This window comes from Homo sapiens, chromosome 1 (assembly GCF_000001405.40).
Source record: "Homo sapiens chromosome 1, GRCh38.p14 Primary Assembly".
NCBI classification, from domain to species: Eukaryota; Metazoa; Chordata; class Mammalia; order Primates; family Hominidae; genus Homo; species Homo sapiens.
In genome coordinates this window covers 245327390-245354852 of record NC_000001.11, presented here as the reverse complement: position 1 = coordinate 245354852, position 27463 = coordinate 245327390, and the positions used below count along the sequence as shown (strand labels likewise).

Sequence of the window (27463 nt, the reverse complement as noted above, 5' to 3'; positions counted from 1 at the left end):
TCTCCTCTGATTCCTTCTCACCTGCTCTCACTGGAGATGAATCTCGATGCAGGAGGGCAAGGTGGGTGTTCTAAGCCCAGAAGCTAATGCCGGCTCTCCTCTACCTCAGTTTCCCTTATGTGGAGGTACTGAACTCTAAACAGCATGCTCTCTTCCGTTGTAGCTGGCAATGGGGTTAGAAGTGGTGGCTGTGTATGGCCACGCCCAAGGTGGACACAGTGCCCCTGGCTATGAAAACCCCACGGGCTGGTGGAATGCAGATCCTGACCGCCTGGCCCAGCCTCCAACTCCCCCGCCATCTGGCTACACAGGACATTGCCCTTCCTTGTGACAGAGGCGCCGCTGACAGTGTCACCAGCTGTTCACGAGAGAGTGTGGTGGAAGAGGCTGATGCGGCCCTGAGGTCCTGGCCATGTGAAACCGTGGATCTGGTTCATGGCTTACGAGGCTGGTCACAGAGCCTGTCATTGGCATCTCTGCCTCTTGGCCTGGGTTTCAGAGGGGACGGCTGAGGTGGCTTTTACTATGAAATCACTTCAAGCCTCTGGCCGGATTTACATCATGGTAACTTTGTAGTTTCCTTCTCGGAGAAGCAAAACAAAAGCCACGATAAGGCAAAGTCATCTTGAAGGTATAATTTCGTACAATTCTAAAGAAAACCAAAACTTGCTTTGTTCCCTCATAAAACCACATTTATGTAGCTCAGACCTCATGCCAGATTGTGCCAGGATGTGCTTGGTGGGGGAGTCATGAAGCGTTTGGCGGGAGGTGCCCCAGGCTGAGGAGACCCTCAGAGGATAAGGACCTGAGCTGTATGTTTTTGTTTTCACTCATAAACATCAGAAATAACAACACAGCCTTAAGCAGAGGATGTAAAATCCTGGCAACATCTGAACTTGGGGGTCTACATTCACAACTAACAACTCCAAGACCTACCTGTGAGGTCCAGAATTTCACCGTCCATCCTGAGACATCGTGTTTGCTTATTTGGGGACTGATGAATTAATCCTAGGCTACTCAGCCACACTTCTTACCCCTCTTTCTTCCATAATGATCCTTAGTGAAAAGGTCTGAACTGAAAATTCACTGAGATGAGCAAAGCATCACCAAAGCAGCTTTAAATACAGCAGGATGGTGGTGGGGAGGGCGGGAGGAGCAGGAAGCATTTCTCCAGGAACTTGGCCACACCTCTCTGCCAGCTCCAGTCAGTAACTGTCATTCTTGAGAAGTCAGTTGCAACCAACTATTACACACCCACGAAGTCAGAGAACCGGCCAGCCATTCTCAGCTTAGACCCCCACCTCATGAATCATGACCTGGGTGGCTGCAGGGCAATGAGGATTTCTGGGCCTGACCACAAGGATGTGCCACGATCCGAATCTTCCTCGGTGTGTGCCACCCCTACCGCCCCTCCACCAAATAAAGCTAACCTCTTTAGAGGCTGCCATCTTTACTGGCTTCTCAGAGAACTTTCATGGTAGGGAGAGCCGGCAGAACATCTTGAGCGTCTGAGCAAAGGCTGAGGCTGTCTTTTTTGAATGAACCTTCTAGATGTTCCCACACCACCTCAACCACAACAAGCCCAAGCTAGTATGTGAAAGAGGGAGAGGGGGTGAGTAAACCAGGACCCCTCTCCCTGCTGCCTCTAGTCATTCCAACACACAGGAGCCTAGAGTTTGACAGAGCACAGCTGTACTTCTCTGCTATACTGTTAAACTGATTTGTCCTCACATTTTAAAAGACAGCCTTCTGACTATCTTTAACAGATCCTGTAAGATACAGATTTGAATCAATCAATTCATATACATTGTCTACTTATATAAATTAATTCTACAAGAAACTTAAAACGATAGCCACTACAACTCCAAAACCTCTAACGTGATAATCGTATGAATAATATGAGCAGACTCAGTGGAAAAGAGTAAAAAGCAAAAGTCTATAGCAAGAGAGCCACTTCTCACCTTTTCCCTACTCTACACACCCACCCACGCCCACCACACACACACACACACACACGTGTACATCTCTTTAGGAAGAAACCACTAAGATAGTTCTAGTCGTGGGGTTGGGGAACCCGTACTAGTAAGACAGGCTCAGGAGTTGAGATTCCCAAAAATGCGAAGAAAACTCACCTCCCCGTCCCCACCTGCCTCTATCACTTTTCCTTGAATCGATTCTGAAAAAGTTAAAAAAATGTTCGTAAAGTGATTGTTGTGGTCCAAAAAAGGATTAAAATGACAAAACTGTACTCCAAGTATTTCCCAGGTGACTTTAAACTGGAAGTAGGTGGGCCAGGCACAGTGGTTCACGCCTATAATCTCAGCACTTGGCGAGGCCAAGGTTGATGGATTACTTTCAGTTAGGAGTTTGAGACCAACCTGGCCAACATTGTGAAAACCCATCTCTACTGAAAATACAAAAATTAGCCAGGTGTGGTGGTGGGTGCCTGTAATCCCAGCTACTCAGGAGGCTGAGGCAGGAGAATTGCTTGAGCCTGGGAGGCGGAGGTTGCAGTGAGCTGAGATCGCACCATTGCCCTCCAGTCTGAGTGAAGGAATGAGACTCTGTCTCAAAAAGGAACACAAACAAACAAACAAACAAAAAACTGGAGGTAGGAATGGTAGAATAAAAACCTAGAAGACACTTTAAAATCAATTTTAACTTTGGTTTTGGTTACAGGTTTCAATACAATTTGAGAATATTTGAGAAACACAGTATGGGTGGGACTTGGACCTTCCCTACTGATAGACAATCAGAAGAAATGAAAGATTGAGGGACGATCTCTCTCACACACACAGCCACATTCTAAAACTTTCAAATCTCATTTTTTCATGTAGTGCTTTCCAATATAAATGCAGACAGGTAGGTTTTTGCCTAGTTAATCTATTCATTCAATATATCCATTCATTTACCTCTTCACTCACTAATTTCATTCATTTATAAAACACTTATTAAGTGTCTAATTGGGCCAGGTCTTTTTGTAAGTGCTAGAAACAAACATGGTCTCAACCTTTATGGTGTATTACAAAACAAGCTGTAATCAAAGGCTCAAAACAGAAAATAGCTCCTCATCTTCATCTTGGGAGCTGATGAAGGAGTCAACAGACTGGCCAGAGCTCTGGACCTGAATTCTGAAGACCTGGGTTTTAGTCCAAGCTTTGCCTTTTCTAGTGTCACAGCCTTGGCCAAATCATTCAATCTTCTTGAGCCTTGGTTTCCTCATCAGTAAGACTGGGATAACACTTATCCCCTGCTGCTGATGTAAAGATTAAATGGAATCACAGACATCAAAGCACTTTGTGAAGAGCTCTATAAACATAACATGTTATTACAAATGCTGAGTTTTCCCTATGTTTAACACGTGAAAAGGCATAGCTGAGTTTTCCCTATGTTTAAGACGGGAAAAGGCATAGCTGAGTTTTCTCTTTGTTTAAGACATGAAAAGGCATAGCTGAGTTTTCCCTATGTTTAACACGTGAAAAGGCATAGCCAGGGAAGAAGCCACACACTTCTCATTCAATGCACTTCCCAGTTTGCAACTAGGGAGCTCAAGGCCCACGTATCAACAGCGATGACAGAAAAACAGGACCAAAAAGGGCCCACCCAGGTAAGCCTTTGTTTGGCTCTAGAGAGAGGCAAAGATGAAAGTATGAAGCCCAGCTCAATGTCCGGCTCATTTTCCAGACCCTCCATGCGGACAGGGAAACGCGCTCAGCTAAGTTTATCCCAATGCATAGGTCAGAAGAGATAAAGCCAGAAGTGGCTCAGTGTCTTCCCCGGTCTACAGTAAGATCCATGTCTTGTGTGCTCTGTTCCATGCTTGTTAGAATACATGTGAGGAGTCAATTCCTTGCCCTCCTCCCCTCACTGCTTTGGTGACCAGGAAGAGGAGTGGGATTTTCCAGAAGGACAAACCAACAGAGTCCCACATCATTTGAACTTCCATTATCAGCCTACTTATAAGCCAAGGAAAGAGAATCATTAAATGCTTTGGAGATAGTTACCCATGAAGACTTCACACATATATACACTGCGATCTTGGAATTGTCTCAAAGCAGCAGACCAAAGAGAAGAGATGTCCCCTCTCGGGCAGGTCTGGTGGTTCCTCCTGCACAACCTGTGGTCAGTTTTCCCCAGAGACCATACCTGGGATCCTGGAGCAGGGCCTGAGTGCTCCGTGACCAATAAAATGGAAAGTACCCCCAGGGCATGGCTGGCTAGAAAAACACTTGGGATGCAGCTTAACCTGGGCTTTGATGGTCCCAGGTCATATGGTAGACCAGAGTCTACCCATGGTCAAAGATCAGCTGTGGGGACGGCATTCCTGCTCAGGGGACAGCAGCCCAAAGATGAGAAGGACACTTTGCACTGGGATGAGACTGGAATCAACACGTTCTTCAGGACTGGCAGAATGTTCAGTGGCCCAAGACGTAAGGCAGACTTCAGAAAAGGTCGAAGGGTTTCATGGTGGTCTGTGGAGCTACATAAGGACCTGCCGCTTGGTGAGTCCTTAAGTTATCCAGAGGTGCCTGAACTAACACAGGTAAAGTCACCAGACCTCCAGTAGAAAGAAGGAGAATCTGATATGGCAAGATCTGTGTCTTCATGTGGCCATTGACCAGATGAATGACTCTGCTACGCACAGAAGGTCCTCAGCCCTGTGCACACCTCTGAACAAGCTAAGCTACCCCAGACTCAGGCGGGTCCACCAACCCGGACAACTCCAGCCCAGCAGTCTTTGGAACCGCTGGTTGAATTTCCGTAGGGGAAATGTGATGTGCAAGTATTTATGAAAAAAAAATATATATATATATACTCTCTGCACTTTTTTGTACTCCCAATGATGTGGTCAGGAGGTTACCAACAAGATTTTAAAAACTGCTCTAAGACAAAGCCTTTGGGAGTATGATCTTGTAAATGGGTTTTAGGTGCAATTCCTTACTGATTTTTCACAAAAGCCTGTTCTCAAAGGACTGCAGAATTGTGTTCATTATACTTGAAACAAAGATATGCTCAATATTAACTCCACTGTGTTCAGAAGCTGAAAACAGAGCTCAGCTGTAGACAGTGGCTTGATTAATACCAGATCTTTCCACATTATTATTTACAAGGAGAGTTTTAGTTGCTTTTTCTGCAAATAGTATAACCTGATTTATTGTTAACTATGCCTGGCCATTTTTCTTAGAACCTAATTCATTAAGCCAGTATTACTGAGGCATTCTGAAAAAACCTTTAAACCCGAGGCAGTTAATATCAGAGTGAGTTTTGTTGGCTTTTTTTTTTTTTTTTTTTTGAAGTTTATTTCTCTTAAACAAATCAACATTAATGAGTGAGTACTGTGTGTTTCATAGGTTTAGGGATGTGGTAAAACAGGATTATTCAAGTTTGTCTTTTAAAATTATTGTGGTCCTGTAGTAAAACAACCTGTTAATGTTATTATTTAAATTATTTCCATCCATTACCATCAACGGAAAACATGCTGTAAAATCCTCTGGGATCTTTTATTACAATTTCAGGTACATTTATAAGTGTCTTAAAACTTAAAGGAAGAGGAAAGAAGACATACCTTTATGATTTTATTCAAGTATCAATGTGAATCTATTTACAATCAAAGAAATTTACTTTTAAAAAGACCAAGCACATGGAGTTTTGAAAGACATATGTCTATGCCTTCCCTGTGGCAACTTCATTGATTCATTCAACAGAATATTTATCGAGCACCTATTATACCCAGTTGTGCGATAGAGCCATGAACAAACCAAGGTCCCTGCTCTCACGGAGGTCTCTTCTGAAGCAAAACCAGTAAACAAGCACACACAGGTCACGTCACATGTGACCTATGGAGAACAGTAAGGCAGGGCATGGGAAAAGGGACTTTGTGTATTGGAATGAGGCCCTTTTCCACAGCATGCTCAGAGTTGGACTCTATTCAGGGACACTGGAGCAGAGACCGGAAGGCAGTGAGGCTGTGAGCCACAGCAGGCATCGTGGGGAAGCGACCCAGGCAGGGGAGCAGGCAGACATGAAGGACTGGGTGGGGGCGAGTTGGCGTAACTGGGAACAGCAAGAGGCCGGCGTGGCTGGAGTGGGATGAATGAGGAGGGGAGATGGTTGGACATGAGGCCAGAGAGACCGCTGTAAACTGAACGTGGTGTTGCCCCACAGAATTCATATATTGAAACCTAGTCCCCAACATGATGGCTGGAGGTAAAGCCTTTGGAAGGTGATCAGGTCATGAGGGTGGAGTCATTAGGAATGACATTAGTGCTCTTAGAAAGGGGACCCAGAGAGCTTCCTCGCCCCCTCCACTGTGTGAAAACACAATAATGTGCCATCTATGAACAAGAGGGCCCTCCTCAGACACTCAAGTTGCTGGTGCCTTGGTCTTGGACTTCCCAGTCTCCAGAACTGTAAGAAATACATACATTTCTGTCGTTTATAAGCCACCCAGACTGTGGTGTTTTTTTATATCAGCCTGAGCAGACTAAGACCAACAGTCTCAAGTTCAGGGTCAAGGTCCAGGCTAGGGATACAATTTTGCAAATCAATAATATACTGATAGCATTGGAAGTTACGGGCCTGGGAGGGATGGCATAGGGAGTCAGTGCAGGCAGAGCAAAGGTCTGATGAATGATCATTCCACGATTTATTTAGAGCAGATGAGAGGAAACCAGCACAAGGTATTGAGAAGGAATAGGTAGTGAGCTCAAAGGAGAAATCAAAAAGTGATGTTCAGAAAACAAGGCAAAGAAAGTCATCCAGGAAGGAGGGAATGATCTACGGGCAAATGCTGCAGATAGATCAAGTAAAATGAGGACTGAGAACTGACCATTTTATACCACTTATGGCATAGAAGGTAAATTCTTCAACCTCTCTGTTTCTCAGTTTCCTCACCCATAACATGGGGAAAATAACGGTACCCGCCTTAGGGCTTAAGCAAGTGAATACACGTAAAACACTTAGAACAGTAACTGGCACATAGTAGGTGCCAGTCAACAAATATTTGTAGAATGAATGAACGTGTTATAATGATCAGATTACAATTATTATCTATTACAAATGTTATTTAGTCTTGATTATCATCAGTGACCTTCATAAGAGCTTTTGATTGAGTGGTGGCAGCTAAAAGATAAATGGAGTGGGTTCAAGAGAGGATAGAGATGAGAAACTGGAAACAGAGAGTATAAACACGCATTTTAAAAATAAATTTGCTGCAAAGATAATCAAAGAAATGGAACAGGCCAAGTGCAGTGGCTCACGCCTGCTATCCGTTTAGGGGGAGACAGGAGGATTGCTTGAGCCCGGGAGTTCAAGACCAGCCTGGAAAATGTAGCAAGACCCCATCTCTCAAAAAAAATTTAAAAATTAGCCGGGTATGGTAGCATGCACCTGTAATACCAGCTACTTTGGAGGCTGATGAAGGAGGATGACTTGAGCCCAGGAGTTCAAGGCTACAGGGCTACAGTGAGCTGTGGTTACGCCACTACGCTCCAGCCTGGGTGACAGGTAAGACCCTGTCTCTAAAAAAAAAGAAAGAAAGAAAGAAAGAAAAGAAAGGGGACAGTAGTTAATGAGATGTGTGAGGTTAAGAGAAATTTATTTTTTAAGTTGGGAGTTATAATAGCATTTTTGTATGCTAAAAGGAGTGATTCAATCAAGAGAGAAGAAATGATGATACAGAAAGAGGAGAACGCTCTGCCAGAGGGTGCTCGAGCCCACTAGAAGTTAATGGTCATAAACTGGAAACAGTCACCACGGCTGTGTTCTGTTCCACCCAGGCTCAGCTGGGCACAGACAGGTACAGAGGACATGGGCAACTGGATTTTACCAAGGCTGTAGTTTTGCAAGGAGAGTGGGATGAAGAGAGAGATGGGTAAAGAAGTTAATGTTATAAGATAGTAAAGCAAGGTAATGATTAGATAATCAAGGACTCCAAACTAGACAATGAGAGACATGAAGACATGAGGTAGGTGAGAAAGGGGGAAAAGATGATAGGATGGATGGATTTTGCACTTCAGTGAGGTGGAAGAATTGTTTTCAGTCAAGGTTTTAGGAGAGAAGAAAGAGGTGGTGATCAGAGAATGGGATGCTTGAAATGAGATGATGGAGCTGGAGCATAACAGATAATGACTGCATTATCAGTCTTTACAACCGGTAATAAGCTCTAGGGTATAGTTACGGAAATGGGGGGCTGAGGTTGAGTGAAGAACAAGGTCATCGGAGAAGAGGAGATTAAGGACCTGAGAAGCCAGAGTACCGAAGGATTGTCTACAAGAACACTGAAATCACAGGTGTTACTGTCTGACAAGTAGGGTTGGTGTACTGATAGCACTCCAGGAGCGTCAATCCACAAGGAACAAGGTGGCATGGATCAGAGATGAATAGATGACTGCAACAATGATCTGGTGGCCAGAGATGCAAAGCCAGGGGTCTCCAGGAGGAGGGAAGGATGATCATGGAGCAGTGATGAGGCGCTAGCACCAAACGTGGTGGTTCAGGGTGTGGGGACAAAGCAGATGTGGCTTGAGAGGACTTCGGGGAGCAGTTAGGAAGATAAGGTAAAGGGACTGTATTAGTCTGTTCTTGCATTGCTATAAAAAAATACCTGAGGGCCAGGTGCGGTGGCTCACGCCTGTTATCCCAGCACTTTGGGAGGCCGAGGCAGGTGGATCACGAGGTCAGGAGTTCAAGACCAGCCTGGCCAAGATGGTGAAACCCTGACTCTACTAAAAATACACACACACAAAAAAAAATTAGCCAGGTGTGGTGGCAGGTGCCTGTAATCCCGGCTACTCGGGAGGCTGAGGCAGGAGAATCGCTTGAACCCAGGGGGCAGAAGTTGCAGTGAGCCGAGATCATGCCACTGCACTTCAGCCTGGGAAACAGGGTAAAACTCTGTCTCAAAAAAAAAAAAAAAGAAAGAAAGAAAGAAAAAGAAATACCTGAGACTGGGGAATTTACAAGAAGAGAGGTTTCACTGGCGCACGGTTCTACAGGCTGTCCAGGAAGCATGGTGGCATCTGCTTCTGGGGAGGCCTCAGGCAGCTTCCAATCGCGGCAGAAGGCAAAGTGGGAGCAGGCAGTTTACACCGTGAAAGCAGGAGCAAGAAAGAGCAAGGAAGGAGGCGCCACACACTTGTAAACAACCAGATCTCACGAGAACTCACTCACTATCACGAGAACAGCAGCAAGGGGAACGGTGCTTAGCCATTCGTGAGAAACCACCCCCGAGATCCAGCCACCTCCCACCAGGCCCCACCTCCCACGCTGGGATCACAACTGAACATGAGATGTGGGCAGGGACACAGATCCACACCATCACGAGGACCTCTCAGGAAAGGCGCTGAGGGTGTGGGGAATTTTGCTGATAACGTGCTGTGTGTTCCCGTGGAAAGGCGTGGTGAGTAGGAGAGAGGTGCGGAGGGGGACGAGGATTTTCCGAGTCTCAGCTTCCTGTTGGGAGAGGCATAAACAGAGACGCAAGGCTCGAGGTGGTTAGATCTGATGTTTCCCAGACAACTGTGTGTGAGGCTGTGAAGTCGCAGAAGGAGGGAGGGGATGAGGTTTCTCCCAGGAGTGGCCTCTGGGGCGCCACCTTCACTCCAGCTGCGGGTAGGGCAGGGGTGGGGTGAGGGCTTGTGGGCTCTTCATTATAGAAAACACCTGCAAGGTAACCAGCGTGAGCATCTCCTCACTTGCGCCTATGGCCCAAACATGACATTCAAATATGAGTCAATGGTCACAAGGTTGACTGAGCGAGAGAATGCAAGAGAAGAAAATTTACCCTTGCTGCTGGGGAATAGCTCAGAATACGAATGTAGTGCCATCTCCACGTGTGAAGATACCATGGAACCCTCCATCTCCTGCAGAATTAGCTACAGTGTGTACGCGGAGGCATCGGGTGGGGTATAGAATGAACTCAACTGAAGCCGGGGGATAGAAGGAAAGAAGCGGTATCACCTGTTTTTCCACGAATCAACGTAGATCAGTCCGAAAAATGTAACTGTGAGCTAAAAAGTCAAGTTGTCAAGGGATACGTCCAGCCTGATACCACTCACACAACACATGGCCGCGGTATGCAGTCTGTCTGTATCCTCAGGCTTCTCACACACTGGTAAAGATTATCTGTGCGTCTAAGCAGAACCTAAGGCTGCCTGGCGGAAGGCCAGCATCCCAGCAGAAGAACTGGGCAATAGAGAAGTGGCGGAGCCCAGGAGTGTGGCAATTACTGAAGCAGAGAAGGACTCCAGGGTCATCCCAGAAGCCAGAGTGATTGCCCTTTTCCAGCCAGGAAAGCTCATTATCCACATTCATGTACAGGATACATTTCCTTTTTTTTTTTTTTTTTTTTTTTTTTTGAGACGGAGTCTAGCTCAGTCACCCAGGCTGGAGTGCAGTGGCGCGATCTCGGCTCACTGCAGGCTCCGCCCTCCGGGTTCACGCCACTCTCCTGCCTCAGCCTCCCGAGCAGCTGGGACTACTAGAGGATACATTTCTATGAACTGTTTTTAAAGGGGGATATGACTCTTTTTTTTCCAAACAAAATCTTACACAGAAGGCTAATGAATGAATGAAATTAAGAGATGGAAGAAAAATAAAGAAAGGAGAGAGGGAGGAAGGGAGGAGAGACAGAGAAACAGGGAGAGAAAAAAGAAAAGGAAAGAAAGAGATAGGGAGGGAGACAGGGAGGGGGAAGGAGAGACAGAGAAACAGGGAGAGAAAGAAAGGAAAAAAGAGAAGGAAAGAAAGAAAAGAGGGAGGGAGGGAGGCAGCGAGGCAGGGAGGAAGGAGGGAAGGAAGGAAAAAAAATCACAGTAGTTCTAGTTAAAGCATAGCAAGGCCAGAGCCCTACCTGCACCCCAAGAAAGCCCAGAGATTCTGCTAAGGAAGCCCTTGGCCCCCCCGAATTGCAGCTACAGAGGACTGGATGTGTAGGAAGTATTGTGAATTTCATTATTTTTTAACACTGTTACCTTCATCAGTTGTGACAGCAGAACAAAGGTTTTCTTATTTGTTTTCTGTCTTTCAACACATAAATCAAAACCATACCTCTGCCAATTCTTCTCCTTTACAGGTGGAAGGTTGCAGCTTCATGAATTATAAGTCAACATCTCACGCCCAAATATATCTATTTTACTTGCAATTTTTCTGGCCTGTCAAAACCGTCAAGCACTGACAAGAATAATACACTGGGTTTTGCGGCTGGCACGAATGAAGTCGTTATCAATTATGAGAAGAAAAATTGCGTTTAAATGTCAATTACAAAGATGACTCCTACCTATAACCTACTGCCAAAAATGTAAAAGCTAAAGTTTAAGAATTTAGCATGAACTTTATGAAAATTCTATATTCATTTTCATAGCAGCCTTCGTTATGCTGATTTGAACACAGACCTGAGTGTATACAGGATAATAATTACCCTGGCAGAGCAGAGGCAGAATGGAGATATTCCTCATAAAGACATAAATTGTGGTAGGAAAAAAAAAAAAGATTGCATGGAACTTTTTAATGTTTTAAATGGTTTTTATGTATTAAAGGCATGAGGTGGCCCTGATCTGAAATCTCACATGATCCTCCTGTAAATGCATTAACTATCTTCTTCCAACACATCACACCCAAATAACTAATACACTCCACAGACCAAAGGAAGTCATTTATCAAATTCAACCATAAACAAACTTATAGTGAAGACAGACACCTGAAATATATATTTATGGCTCTCCCTTTCCAAAATAAACACTAATCTAAATTCTTTTTTTTTTTTTTTGAGATGGAGTCTCGCTCTGTTGCCCAGGCTGGAGTGCAGTGGTGTGATCTCGGCTCACTGCAAGCTCCGCCTCCCAGCTTAAAGCAATTCTCCTGCCTCAGCCTCCCAAGTAGCTGGAATTACAGGCGCCCACCACCACACTCGGCTAATTTTTGTATTTTTAGCAGAGACGGGGTTTCACCATGTTGGCCAGGCTGGTCTTGAACTCCTGACCTCAGGCGATCTGCCACCTTAGCCTCCCAAAGTGTTGGGATTACAGGCATGAGCCACGGCGCCTGGCACATTAATCTAAATTCTTAATCTCTGACTCTTCTCCAAATCCTATGTCAGGTTGACGTCTCCATCCTCCCTCCCTCCCCTTCTTCTTGCCAAGGCCTCATTGACCTGCATCATCACCTCCCAGGGTTCTGCAGTACTGAGTTCTAATTCTGGTAAACCAGACTGGATTGCTCAGAAATTGTAGCATGGTCCCTTTACAGGCCTCCAGCCCCGGGTCTTTGGGAAAAATAGGGAAAAAACAAAAACAAAAACAAAAACCAGAATTGACTTCAGAAGAAAGGTAGGGAGCAAAATGACTAGAGGCCATAGACGGAGGAGCCACCGGTGGGTGACGGTCCCATTCTCTCCTTGTCCAGACTGCTCTCCCTAGATGCTTTAGGCAGCATCATTAACACTCTTAATTACACAGCAACATACTTTTTGCAAAAGTGAATTTATATAAAAACACTGAAGACTGTCTCTGCACTTTTCTTTCTGCACCCCTGGATGGAGAAAACCACGCGGCTCACTTCTTCATCTTGGTGCAATGGTTGCTGGTCTTGAAATAAAAACTCACTGAAGGCAAGAAGCCATTTACTTGGTTAAATGTGTGAAAAATTGGTCAGGGGTACATTCTACTACTAATGTGCGCACAATCTGTATTTAATATCACCATCCATCCAGGGCTCAGAATTAAATGTCTACGGCCAAAGACTAACAAGGTTTGGGGATGTTTTCCAGTTAGTCACCTGGTATGGTTTCCCAAGCACAATTTCTGGTTTACGGTTCAAGAGGAAACAAAGGATTGCTTTCAACTTGGTATGTGGTCTGAGAATTTGAAAATCCAGAACTGAAGTGAAAAGAAAATCAACATCCCTGTGATACAATGTCATGCTAACCCTTAAGGGGGAGGGAGATGGGCGTAGATGGTGCCACGGGAACCAAGTGACAGGAGACGCAGGAGCTTAGACACTGCACAGCTGTGCACCTCCCTCTGAGCTCTGCCCCAACTGGTGACCCTCCCTGCCCACCAGCCTGCTTAGGAAGTGAGACACAGATCATTTAGATGCTTTAAAAAAGATGAAGGAACTTTTCAATGTGGAGAACATAGTCTCCTGTGTTGAACCAAGTTTATAAACAAGCTTTTGTTTCCCTACAAGTTTCTCTAGGTGCCCAGAGAGTTCACCTTCTCTGAAGACTGCACCGTGCTGGGCCCAGTGGCTCACTCCTGGAATCCCAGCACTTTGGGACGCCAAGGGGGGAGGATCACTTGAGCCCAGGAGTTTGAGACCAGCCCGGGCAACCTAGTGAGATCTTGTCTCTACAAAAATTTTTAAAAAATTAGCTGAGAGTGGTGGTGTGTGCCTGTAGCCACAGCTACTCTGGAGGCTGAAATGGGAGGATCTCTGGAATCTGGGAGGTTGAGGCTGTGGTGAGCCATACTGTGCCACTGCAGGCTAGCCTGGGTGACAAAGCAAGACAGTGTCTCAAAAAAAAAAAAAAAAAAAAAAAAAAAAAAAAAAACTGCATCTTTTTAAGCCCTTGGCTTTTCCAGTTAAAGCTCCCAGGAATAATCTCAGAAACAGACTGAAGAAGACTTCCCTTTAGAAATCAGGGTCACTAACATTACAGACGCAGCTCCGGAGCTCCCCTGCGATGACCAGCACTTGACTCTGGAGCACTGAATGGGTTTGAGTGAAACCATCTGGCTTCAGTATAGACTCACCCCAAGGGAAAAACGAGAACATCTGAGGCACTGGGATTGGGAAAGGAGGATGGGAGGATGGACTCAAACTGTAGAAATGAAAAGTGTCAATAAAATGATGCTAGTCAATTCCATCTCCTAAATACGTCTCAAATCCACTGTCTGCATCCACTGACGTCCCCACTTTGGGCACTGAGGCCACCATCATTTCTCACCTGGATGACCGCAGTGCATTTCCCTGTTCCCTCCCTTAGATCGTGGCTGAAACGTCGCACCCTCAGAGAAGCTGCCCCGCCTCCAGACCAAGTCTGTCTCCACATTGAGCCTTTCTATCCAAAACCCCTGCACATTTCTTTAAGTGCACATATCACAAGGGTTGCTGTACAACTCATTAGATAAAGAGTTGTTGAATGCCTCTTATCTTCATTGGAATATAAACCCGATGAAAGCAGGACCCTGTCTATCTTACCTCTGTGTTCTCAGGGCCTGGTACATGGTGCCGTATACATCGTAGGCTCTCAGTAGGGCCTACAAATGAATGAGTGAATAAATGAATGGTCACTTTGCCCAGGGCCACTTAGAATAAGATGTTAGGGACAGGGGCTGCAGAAAAGCAAGGCTAGCCCTATTTATATGTTAGTACATACTCAGCCATCTGTATCCGTGGGTTCCACATTTATGGATTCAAACAACCATGGATTAAAAGTATTCAGAAAAAAAAAAAAGGATGGTTGCGTCTGTACTTAACACGTACAGAGTTTTTTTCCTTGTCATTATTCCTCAAACAATACAGAATAACAACTATTTATATAGCATTTATATTGTATTAGGTATTATAGGTAATCTAGGCATCATTTCAGATATACCGGAGGACGTACCTGGGTTATACGCAAATACCATGACATTTTATACCAGGGACTTGAGCATTTGTGGATTTTAGTTTCTGTAGGAGTCCTGGAGGCACTCTTCCACTGATACTCAGAGACAATTGTACCCTCCAATGAGACTCTAGCTCAGCTGGAACATTTTGTCATTTTTCTTATGCTTTCCCTGTTTCCTGTAGTGATAAGGACAGTAAGAAAGACGACTCCTCATACCTTCCAGCCAGTATTGGGGGGAAATGGGTTTCCAGAAGGTAGGGAGGTTGTTCAAACCCCTGGGCCTGGGGTAGGCTAGAGGCTTGGGCCCTGGGCCCTGGTGTTCTCCAACACGGCCCAATGGGGAAGAGCAATTTGATATGTATATAAAATAAAATCAAGGGACCTAGGACTGTCATAATCCACACTCAGTAAATCCTATGGCACACATGCCAACTGGTAAATCTTGACAGAGCATACATGTGTGAATCTCTACACAACTGCAACAGCTACTTTGATATGGGTCACACAGAATTCTTCAAAATGAACCAATCTTCTTATATTTAAAACAAGGTGAAAATATATATTCATGATTTTGTGACTATACTAAAAATTACTTTAAAACGTCAATTTTATGGTATATGAATATCTCAATAATAAAATGGCACTTACTTCCACATCCCAAATCCAAATCACGTTTTAGTACCTATTTTATGATAATATACATATTTTACCCATAGGAATCTACAATCTCAGAAACTTGTCTTCCTTAATGAGTTCTGGGCTACTGACACTATAAAATTAATGGAGTCCAGTGACATATATTAGCTAGGCTGTGCAAGGAGGCTATCAAAGTGAGCACTAGTGAAAGCTCACACTAATGTGGTATCAGCCACATCCGTACAGAATAATAAACCAACATGGCCGCCTTAGCAGAAGAAACTTTATCCATTAAGTCAGTGACAAAGGCCACAAGAATAGCCTAAAAGGCCGGGTGCGGTGGCTCATGCCTGTAATTCCAGCACTTTGGGAGGCTGAGGCAGGTGGATCACGAGGTAAGGAGCTCGAGACCAGCCTGACCAACATGGTGAAACCCCGTCTCTACTAAAAATACAAAAAAATTAGCCAGGCGTGGTGGCACAGGCCTGTAATCCTAGCTACTCAGGAGGCTGAGGCAGGAGAATCACTTGAACCCAGGACACGGAGGTGGCAGTGAGCCGAGATAGCACTACTGCACTCCAACCTGGACAGAGCGAGATTACGTCTCAAAAAAAAAAAAAACCCTAAAAGCAAAATTCTACCCTATGAAGCATACCTTTCTTGCCATTGCAGTCAACTTCTAGTACCAATGAAATATCCCACAAGACCCTATGTAGTCTGGGATACCTAATCACTGAATCCTTCTGACTGCTAGGATCTTATGTAAGCTTTGGGGGTGATCGATGCACCTCTACTCAAGGAGCTATTTTGGGGATGGTGAATGTACAGGGAGGCTTCTGAGGGGTGTACACTTCCTCCAGAAGGCCTTTGCCCTTCGGGTCAGAGGTTACAACATACTGCTCCATGCCATCAGCTGACTGAAGCAGAAAAGACTCAGAGCTAATTTCTTAGAAACTCTCTTCTAGAGCTATGTCTGAGAATGTGGTGCTCACACTTAGTTGTGCTTACTACCACACAGAAATGCGTATGTGTTCACACTCGTGTATATGGATCACTTGGTAATGCGTGCAAGTGAATCAGATGTATACATAAGCACAAACCAACATTCAAGAGGAACCCAACATCTGGATTGGGGACTGGCAAACTTCTGCTATAAATAACCATTAAGTATTTTTGGCTCTGCAGGCCATATGGTTTCTGTCTCAACTACTCAGTTCTGCTGAGGGGAAGGAGGAAGTTGCCATCAGAAACACGTAAATGAATGAGCATGGTTGTTTCCAATAAAACTTTATTTACAAAAACAAGCAGCAGGCTGGCTTTGGTCTGCTGACCACAGTTTTCTGCCTCCTGGTGTACATAATGGAAGCCTGTACTCTTTAAGAAACAAGTAAACCATTTTGAAGGAATCTTGCTAGAGTAACTTCATCTTCCTACAAAGTTATGAGATATAATTCAAGCTTTTGATGATTCAGCGTCTACTACGAATGTTAATTAATTTCATTCCATGCCGCATGACATAGTTTCCACAGGCACGGTAAAGTGCAAAAAGTTGTTTGCCCCAAACCAGACGGCTGTGCTTAGAGACTCTGTGTCTGCTTTCTGTCCCCTCTCTTCCTGTCAAGCTGTTAGCTGTCGCTTTGTTGGTTTTGCCTTTGTGATTGTCTTTATCTTTAGTTTGCCATTTCTGATCTGCTCCCGGCCAAGCACGCTATCTAAAGGAGACCTGGCTGCGAAGGGTGATAAGTTTCTTTTAAAGAAACACAAGCATGAGCTTTGTCACCTTTATGCAGCCACTGCATGGTCTTCTGGACTTTCTAATTTGTCATTTATTTTAAATACTTATGGTTGCTCGATAAATGACTTATGGGTGAGATGTTACTCTGTGTGTGTGTTTGTGTGTGCACCTATAAACACACACACCATAGTCATTTATTTATTAATTCAATAAATATTTATTGAATTCCTATATGTGAGTCAGTTCTAAGAATATGGACTACATTCGTGAACCAAAGATTGGAAAACCAAAACACATATACTCATACACGGGTGCACACACACACACACACACACACACACACACACACACATTTCCTAAGTACTTCTAGGTCACCAGGCTAAATGAATGGCCAGGCGTGGTGGCTCACACATGTAATCCCAGCACTTTGGGAGGCCGAGGTGGATGGATCACTTGAAGTCAGGAGTTCGAGACCAGCCTGGCCAATGTGGTGAACCCCCGACCCCCGCCACCCCTACTTAAAATACAAAAATTAGCCAGGTATGGTTGGGGGTGCCTGTAATCCCAGCTACTTGGGAGGCTGAAGCAGGAGGATCACTTGAACCCAGGAGGTAGAGGTTGCAGTGAGCCGAGATCACACTACTGTACTCCAGCCTGGGTGACAGGGCAAGACTTTCTCAAAAATAAATAAATAGATAAATAAATAAATAAATAAATAAATAAATAAATAAATAAAACTTCTAAATGCTCTCCACATCCTCCCAAACATACACACAGAATTGCTTCTACTTGATAAACCAAAATGCCCACTCACTCCAATTTTCTCTTTGTACCTCATTTCCCGCCTCCTTTCTTCCCATGGAAGCAAAGGTAAGTCACAAACCTGCAGAAAGACAGGAGGCCCAGCCGACTACCCAGGAATCCAAGTGGTCAGCTTGTTCTTGGATCATTTAAAACTGCTTCTTCAACTGTTAATGAGGCAATACATTCCTGTGATCTGGGAGGTGAACCAAAAATCCTAGCCTAGTTTCATTTCAAATGGACTAATTAGCAAAGAGCCAGTCTTTCCAGTTTAATGAAGTTGCATTTTCAGTTCCTGGCCACTTTGGAAAAAGAAAGGTAAGAATTCATAGGGTATCAGATGTATTCAGGTGAGGAAGGTCAAAAAGCATGTTGATACGGAAGGTATGTATAGGAAAAAGCAGGAAATGACTAAACCTGGAGGCGGCTTCAGGTGCTCTCCCAAGAATGAGTGCTCACAGGGCTCCGCACGAGCCGCCGCACGAGCCTGCAGAGAAGCAAACCATTATTCCAGAGAGAACCTTTTCCTGCCAGTCCAGCTAGTCCTGATTCCACGTGCGTGAAGAAAGGCAAAACAGCATCCCTCCCCAGAGCAGATCAAGGTCACTGCGACCTTCACCAAGTGGCCAGATCCACCACGCAGCCGCCAGTCGGAGGCACCCGCATACCATGACCCCTGTCTTGCACGGTGCCCCTAAATCCTACAAGCGGGTCTCCTGCATCCCCAGAGCAGTCCTTTTTCTGATGGCCCACTCACTCTACGCACTCCTGTCTCCTTCCTCTCTCTTCTTTCTGAGAACAGTGGATGGTGCTTCTTCTAGATGGCATCCGTGCAGCAGAAAGCCCAGCGGCTATGCAGAGTGGAACAGCAATCCCTGCGTGGGACTCTCCTTTCCCTGCGTGGGACCTTCTTTCCCTGCATGGGACTCTCCCTGCGTGGGACTCTTCTTTCCCTGCGTGGGACCCTCCTTTCCCTGCGTGGGACCCTCCTTTCCCTGCGTGGGACTCTCCTTTCCCTGCGTGGGACCCTCCTTTCCCTGCGTGGGACTCTCCCTGCGTGGGACTCTCCTTTCCCTGCGTGGGACCCTCCTTTCCCTGCGTGGGACTCTCCTTTCCCTGCGTGGGACCCTCTTTCCCTGCATGGGGCTCTCCCCGCGTGGGACTCTTCTTTCCCTGCGTGGGACCCTCCTTTCCCTTCGTGGGACCCTCCTTTCCCTTCGTGGGACTCCTCCTTCTCCGCGTGGGGCTCTTCTTTCCCTGCGTGGGACCTTCCTTTCCCTGCGTGGGACTCTCCTTTCCCTGCGTGGGACTCTCCCTGCGTGGGACCCTCCTTTCCCCTCGTGGGACTCTTCTTTCCCCACGTGGGACCCTTCTTTCCCCGCGTGGGACCCTTCTTTCCCCGCGTGGGACCCCCCTTTCCCCTCGTGGGACTCTCCTTTCCCCTCGTGGGACTCTCCTTTCCCCGCGTGGCACTCTCCTTTTCCCGCGTGGGACTCTCCTTTCCCTGCGTGGGACTCTTCTTTCCCTGCAGGCGTTGATGGGCAGCACATCCCATCCTGACTCCTTCCCAAGCTTCCTCCCTCACAGTCCAGACTCCTCCAGATTCTACCTCATTCAGATGATGCAGATTCTCAGGCTAAGAAAACCAACCTCCTGGTCTGTCATGTTTGGCACTAGAGTGCGTATATGTGTCTGTGTGTGTCACACAGGTAAACCACAAGCAGGAGCCTGGGATGCCAGGCCAGGGGAGGACAAGGCAAAGCCAAAAAGGGGAAGTGGCAATCCAAGACTGGATTAGACTGAGACGGGTGCCATGAGGTCAGCTGAGCCTTGCCCCAGGCTGCAGGGCCCATCTGGGGTCCGTGATGCCTCAATTATGCCTTCATTTTTAGCACAGAAGTGCCAGTTGGACCACAGAATCCAGAGAGCAGACAGACAGTCTGAAGTCCCCAGACACAAGCAGGGCAAAAGGAAATCAGAGATGCTGCACTGGTGCTGGGCCTCAGTGGTTTTAGCTGCCTCATGCTTTCTTACAGATAACTGAAATCACAGCCCCAGCGGAACATGCTGGCCACTCCAGATTACATCCAGTTCTCGCCCAACTTAAGGTCATGAGACCTGGGTTCAAATCCCAACTCCGACACCTAATACATGTGTAGACTCGGTCCAGTTATCTACCCTCTTTACCCTTCGGTCTCATCTATGAAAATGGAACGGCAGTCATACCTACTGTACAGGGTTAGTAGGAGGCTGACATGACAGCAGTTATGGAAAGTACTTGACGGAGGTAGACATAGAGAAAATGCTCAGAACATCTCACCCTTGGCAGAAAATAGACACACACTCTAAGGTGCACTGCAGGCTCACTCCTCATTCTTGATTGTTTCTGTTTCTGTTCCTTTGTCTGCCCCGCACCCATACTCCTCTCCAGAAGATGCCCCTTCTCCTCTGCTGACCCTCCAGGGAGCCGGGGTCTGACCCCAGATGGAGGTCACTCTTCTGAAGGCTCCTGCAGGGCAGCTGGCTTTGCAACCTTCCTGTGCATCCAAGTGGCCTCTCACCTACATGTTTTATGAGGAGGGACTGACTGATCGGAATTTCACTCTTTGCAGAAGACATCTGTTTTGAGGGCAGTAAAGACCTAGGTGGCACTGCTTTGAAGGCAAAGAAATGAAGGGCAATTACCTTGCCATTAATCAACCAGGATACAAGGACTGAACAGAGTTAGTTAACACCAGGAACGAACATTTTCATAACATTCCTGCGCATTAGGAATGAGCAAAACACAAATTAAGTTAGTAGCCACCTATGAGATTGCTTGAAACATGTCAGTGTAGATTTTAAAGCTGCATGTAGAATGCAAGACACTAAAAGGAATTACCACCACTTCCTCTGAAAAATAAAAAGAGAGAGAGGCCATTGCTGCTCCCACACACATTGTTTCTTGTACCTTGCTGTATGGGTAACAGAAGATGACTGAACTTTTCTGCTTCCTTCTAAGCCCCAAATAAATCGCCCACCCCAGCCCACCTCACCCGACATCCACTCGTAGAGGAGATTTTTTTTTTTTTGACACGGAGTCTCACTCCGTCGCCCAGGCTGGAGTGCAGTGGTGCGGATCTCAGCTCACTGCAACCTCCGCCTCCCAAGTTCAAGCAATTCTCGTGCCTCAGCCTCCCGAGTAGCTGGCATTACAGGCGCCCACCACCATGCCTGGCTAATTTTTGTATTTTTAGTAGAGATGGGGTTTCAGCATGTTGGCCAGGCTGGTCTCAAACTCCTGACCCCAAGTGATCCGCTGGCATCGGCCTCCCGAAGTGCTGGGATTACAGGTATGAGCCACCACACCCGGCCTGAGGAGATATTTAAGTTAAGGCTCTGGAGAGGTTCAAGGTTAGGATCAAAAGATAAAAAATGGAGAGTTACAAGCATGTGCACACACACGTGTGTGTAAAAATGTAACATAAATTTACCATTTTAATCATTTTTAAGTGTACAGTTCCATGGCATTAAGTACATTCACATGACTGTGTAACCGTCACCACCGCCCACCTCCAGAACGCTCTGCATCTTCCCAAACTGAAACTCCGCACCCACTAAACACTCACTGCCCATTCTCCCGCCAGCCCCTGGAAACCACCACTCTACTTCGTCTGGTTTGTCTCTATGAATTTCACTGCTCTAGGTGCCTCACCTAAGTGGCGTCACACAGTATTTGCGCTTTTGTGACTGTGGCTGATTCGACTTAACATCATGTCTTCAAGGTTCATCCAGGCTGTAGCGTGTGTCCGAATTTCATTCCTTTTTACGGCTGAAACAACATTCTATTGTATGTAGAGACCACATCTCGTTTATCCATTTATACGGTGACAGGCCCTGGTGTTGCTTCCCTCTTTTGGCTAATCGTGGCTAATGTGCTGTGAACATGGGTGTGGGACTATCTGTTGGGCCTTCCAGTATTCTATCAATCCAGCCACACTGTCTCCGTTCTGCTTTTCTCCTGCATGCTGACTCTGATTTCTTCTTTCCCACCAGTCCTTTGATTCTTGCTGCCCAATAAATCCTTGGCACCACCATGATGGCTTCATGTTGGCACCCCTTCCCTACATTTTGCCCTTTTTCTGCTGGATTTGGAGAGACCCATTGAAAATACAGTGTCTCCAGGAGATGTTTCTGAGCAGTCCTCTTCCCTTCTGCACTTGCCTTAAGTCTGCCATCGACAGCAAAGCCAGTCCCTGTGCCGAGGAGAGGCAGTGAGATGACATAAAAGCCACAGATACCCCAAAGACTGGAAACTTATGAGCCATGAACGGAAGCCAGGTCATAGTGCTGGGCGCCAGCAAACCAGCCAGCACTCCTCGCTGTCTTGTGCAAAGCATGACACACATAAGGGACCCACCACCCTGAGTGAAAACCAGCAGGGCTGTGGCTTCCAGGAGACGACTCACAACATGTCAGCAGTGGGGGTGGGAGTAAGTGGTGGGGGGAAAGGCAAGACAAAGGTGGAGGCTGAAACCAACAGGGGAGAGAAAGGTTAGATCAGACAAAAGCTTGCTCACTAAAGAATTTGCTAGGGAAAAATAAAAATTAAAAGGAAGTGCTTACTTCTGGCATTCAGAGGCTAAAGAAAGAACATTTCAGACTGTAAATCCAGATTTGGGGAGCGAACACTGATGAATTGTGAGAACCCCCATTCTGACCTGAAATGCTATACCCACCTCTCACCTGCCCCCTTGGGAGACGGGTGGGGGTTATGTCATTTTTAGTCATCTGCCTGAATGAATTTACAACAGTTCAAAGAGAGGTTGGCCTACACACTCCTCCAACCACTGATACACAAATGGTCTTAGAAGACGGTCTGCAGCAGCGTAATCCAGTTCATAACCATCTGCTTACTGCATTTCCTGATGAGGACTTCATTTTTTATTGCTATTTATTTATTTCGAGACAGAGTCTTGTTCTGTCGCCCCAGCTGGAATGCAGTGGTGCCATCTTGGCTCACTGCAATCTCTATTTCCTGCATTCAAGTGATTCTCCTGCCTCAGCCTCCCGACTAGCTGAGACTACAGGCACCCACCACCACGCCCGGCTGATTTTTGTATTTATAGTAGAGATGGGGTTTTGCCATGTTGGCCAGGCTAGTCTCGAACTCCTGACCTCAAGTGATCTGCCCACCTCGCCTCCCAAAGTGCTGGGATTACAGGCCTGAGCCACCACGCCTGGCCTCCTGATGAGGACTTCAGACCAAAGTAAATCTCACTTTTTAAAAATCCCTGCATTTTCTACATACGAAAGAAGTGTACGCTATCACATTTTGTACATTGTCTTATTACTATGCACTATATAATAATAGTCCACAGTGAATATTGTACAGGGGCTATCTCTCCATCTATCATCTGTAGCCAGTTGTTGACCTAAAATCTCACAGCCAACTAGAGCTCCATGGAAAATAAATCCTTCCTCAGCAGCCACCAATCCAGGGACAGTCCCACGCTCCCTGGAAATCCTATCTCACTTAGAGACGAAGTGTCACAAAGGTGTCCACCACAGGTAGCACCTTACTTCAGGGTGGACGCGATGTTCTGGCAAATGTGGGTACCTCAAATTTCCTTCACCCATTTTCAGATCCGCGTTTTCATTTAAAGTCTTGGACGACTGCGGGCTTTTCTTAAGAGCACCTTGAGTTGTTTGGTCCTCTGGTTTAAATATGAAGAAAGAGTGTCGTGAGCTGTCATTTTTCTCAGCTTGTGCCCTGCTTGTGAGGCTCTTCTGAAGCTCCTGGCTCAGCACCCCCACAACTTGGCACCGTGGCGCTGGGAAGCCTCTGGTCCGCACGTGCACCCTCCTCCGGCAAGAGCGCGATCCATGTCTCGGTCACTCGCGCGGAATGAGAAGCCTGTGCCTCCGCAGCAGGCTCTGCTCTGCCACCCCCAGGCCCTTCGTACCCTACGTCATACCGCAGACTCCCACCGCCCCCTGCCGCGGCTGCGTTCCTGCTCTGAGGCTCCCTCCTGGACATCAGCGTCTCAGGATCATGGTTTCTGCTCACCGTGTGTGCATTTTCCATCCGGCCTCTCCAGAATCTCTAACCGCCCCCGTTCCTTACTTACTACGTGGGCTCTCTCTCTGCGGGGACTTCCCGCACCTCATTGGTGAGCCTGCCTTTTAAAAAAAGCACTTCATTTGAAATCATTAAAGGAAGGAGTGAATATATCAGACATCCTCCGACACCCCCACTCCCTCCCCGACTCTCCCCCGACTCTCCCCCCATTACCCCGCTATTCCCTCCCCCAATCCCTCCACCACTCCCTCCCCCACTCCCTCCCCGACTCTCCCCCGGCTCTTCCCCCATTACCCCCCTATTTCCTCCCCCACTCCCTCCCCGACTCTCCCCCGACTGTCCCCCTATTACCCCCCTACTCCCTCCCCCACTCTCCCTCCCCCACTCCCTCCCTCCTCCCTCCCCCACTCTCCCTCCACTCCCTCCCCCACTCTCCCTCCACTCCCTCTCCCACTTCCCCCAGTCCCCCCACTCCGTCCCCACTCCCTCCCCCACTCTTTCCCCACTCTCCCCCCACTCCCTCTTCCACTTTCCCTAGTCCTCCCACTCCCTCTAGTCCTCCCGCTCCCTCCCCCACTCCCTCCCCCCACCCACCCGTTGTCCCTGCTGCTCATCTTCACACATGCGGTGCACCAGCCTGCCTGTCCATGGCCTTCTGCCTGGGATTCTTTATGGAGAATTTCACATGAGGCCATGTGACTGCCCCTCACACCCCCTCCCCAAGAGTCTCAGCCCACACGCTCTGCAGCCCCTCCTGGCTAGGAAAAGATGGCATCTCCCACTCCTGAATTTCCTCCTCAGGCCAGCCCAGGTGGGCCTGTGTGCTAAAAGCAGACAATTCTACATGGAGCCTTGGGACCAGACAGTGGACTGTGTCTGCTCAGATAACTCAGCTCCTAACATTAAAATCCTTTTTGGGGGCCAGGCACAGTGGCTCACTCCTGTAATCTTTGCACTTCAGATCGGTTGAGCCCAGAGGTTCAAGATCAGCCTGGGCAACATAGCAAGACCCTGTCTTTACCAAAAAATTTCACAATTAGCCAGACACGGTAGCTGTAGTCACAGCTACTTGGGAGGCTAAGGGAGGAGGATAATTTGAGCCTAGGAGTTCAAGGCTGCAGTGAACAGTGATTGTGCCACTGCACTCCAGCCTGTACAACGGAGTGAGGCCTGTCTCTTAAAAAATAAAAATAAAAGATTTTTTTAAACACCTTTTTTGGTCTTATTGATTGTATACATGTCACTCTATTGTTTATTTAACAACGATTTCGTTAGCGTCTACTATGATATCATCTAGCAAACCTTCAAGGTACACATGAGAGAGAGAGTTGGGAGCCTGGAAAGGGGCAGGGGCAGGAGAGTGGGAGTGAATGGTGAGTGAGTGAATGTGTATGAGGGGTGTCATGGCGGCCTCCAGCCATTCAGCCACTGCAGAAGCAGGACGGGAGGGGTCTGGACCCTGTCCTTCCACACATGGAGGGTTGGGCTATACTTCCAGACTCTCAGGTGCAACTAATTCCTGGGGCCTCATCTGCCTGTGGTTCAAGTCCAAGGAGAGATAGTGGCGATGAGGGTGGAGCTCCGGAGCTGCAGGCAGGAATGCCACGGTGTTTATGTAAGTCCACTCTGCCCTTCCCACTTGCAGCACTGGTGATGGCCGTGGCCCTCTGACTTGTGTTAGTGGCAGATGATGGGCGGACTTCCCTGAAAAGCAGACACTTCCCTGAGGCCTGGCAATTCTCGAGTTAGAACGCAGCCCAATCCTGAGACCAAGTCAACAAACAATAATTGATCCCAACTGGGAAACACACTTTGGAAATAGTCTCTAGGGACTAGGGTCCACCTCCTATCCTGTCCCCACCTCCAGAAAATAGAAAACCACAGCAATGGCTAAAGCTTTCCAAACATACGACCTCTTTGCGAGCCTGTGAATTCAGCTGGTGTTTTCTAGCAATATCCAGATGCCCTCATTTTAATCCACAATTTCATGCCTTTTGCACAGAACTACAAAATGACAGAAAATTAGAGAAAAATACCCTCTAATAGATTATAATATACTAATAAGAACACACAATGAATCACAGAATGTGGGTGGACATAAGAACCGCAACAGAGACACGGTCTCACTACGTGGATGAATGGACTCTCCCAGCTGATTTCCAGGGTCACTGCTCCCCTGTCTGTCTTCACGAGTTCTCGATGAGCGACAACTGGACCTGTCTCAAACCCTGTGTCCCTCCTTGTAAAAGAACAGCCCTGCCAGTGTGGAGACCAGGCGTTGTGACCAGGAGGGCGGTCACAGTGCCAAAATGAGTGTCGTGCCCTTTCCTGCTCATGGGTGCTAGTCCTTTATAAACCAACTAAAGGCATCACCACATTCCCTGGTCTTTGCTAGAAGGAGCCTAGTGTCAGTTGGTGGTCATGGTGCACTGGCCACTCTAGGAATTCCGCAAACCACACCACATCACAGCATGAATTAAGGCAGGCAATGCTTACAGCAAATACACAGGCATTCAGTTTAGCTCTATGCTTGACATATCTGGGTAACTAACAAGTAAAACTAATATAAGGTACCTAAAAGAGAAAGTCTTACAAGGTGAAATTGCAACTACTAATTCTTTCAAAATCTTGGCCTATATTAGAGATCTATGTTTATGAGTATGAATAAATAAATAGAAACAGACTGCAGGCCACAACGAACCCTTAGTCCCAGCATATTCCCTAATTTTACAAATGTTAGGCCTGGGACCCCCCTCCCCCCTGCAAAATAAGTGACTCCCCCATAATGACATGCTCCAAATGGCACAGGAGGCTCAGGCACCCCCACCTCCCAGCCTGGGTCTCTCTCCCGCCCTCTCCTCAGCTAAACACAGAAACACAGCCTACCAGCAAAGCAGTTCATTCGGAGACCTCCTGCCCACCCTCACCTGTCACTCTCCTGACAGGCCGTGACAGGACTCAGATAGTCCCCTCTCTGCCACTCTTCCCTTCATGCTGGCTAAGTGCAGACTCTTCCCTTCACACTGGCTAAGTGTGGATTGGCATGTCTAGGATAAAGACATTCTCACGATCCCAGGTCAGAACCATTCTTGTTTTCTGGAAGTCACAAGTTCCTGAGGTCTGATAAAGCTCATTTTGCCACTGAAAATATTACCTTCATAAAAACATAAACGCTCTCTTTTCCCATTGATCTAATGTCTTAAGTCATTAGAAAATACATTTCATGGAAAAAATAGCTAAAAATATGTCCATGTGTTGCAGTCATTTTAGAAGAAAAGATGTCAGAGGCTAGACTCTTTCCTTCTCAATGCTATAAACAGTGGTTCTTGACTCTTCCAGGGACACAGAGCTCTGGAAATATCTGGCATGTAGGAAGCATTCAATACATGGGAATTGTCATAATTATGAAAACAAAACCCTCTCTCAGCACACAGTATCAGGGGAGTCAGGACTCATGGATCCCAGAGAAAGAACTTCCGCTGCCTCCTCTGACAGATGTCGAATTCTAGAGATGTTTCATAGCTAAAAGTTTGGGGAGCAGACAGACCAAAATGCAAGGGAGGAAAACAAATGAGAAAGGAAAAACAACTCGAGCAGTCTATGCAAAAACCAGATGGAA

The 27463-nt window shown here is 46.7% G+C and overlaps 1 protein-coding gene across 1 annotated transcript in view, besides 1 other annotated feature; it reads right to left on the bottom strand.

Annotated features, from left to right (window-relative positions):
- The window catches only part of KIF26B (kinesin family member 26B), a 554448-nt gene that overhangs the window by 354580 nt on the left and 172405 nt on the right, over positions 1-27463 (bottom strand). The gene's annotated exons all lie outside the window — the stretch shown is intronic.
- Positions 16772-17066: a silencer, noted in NCBI's record as "tiled region #12100; HepG2 Repressive non-DNase unmatched - State 23:Low". NCBI's record gives its function as "represses a minimal TATA promoter and a strong SV40 promoter by Sharpr-MPRA in HepG2 cells {active_cell/tissue: HepG2}" and the evidence as "EXISTENCE:reporter gene assay evidence [ECO:0000049][PMID:27701403]".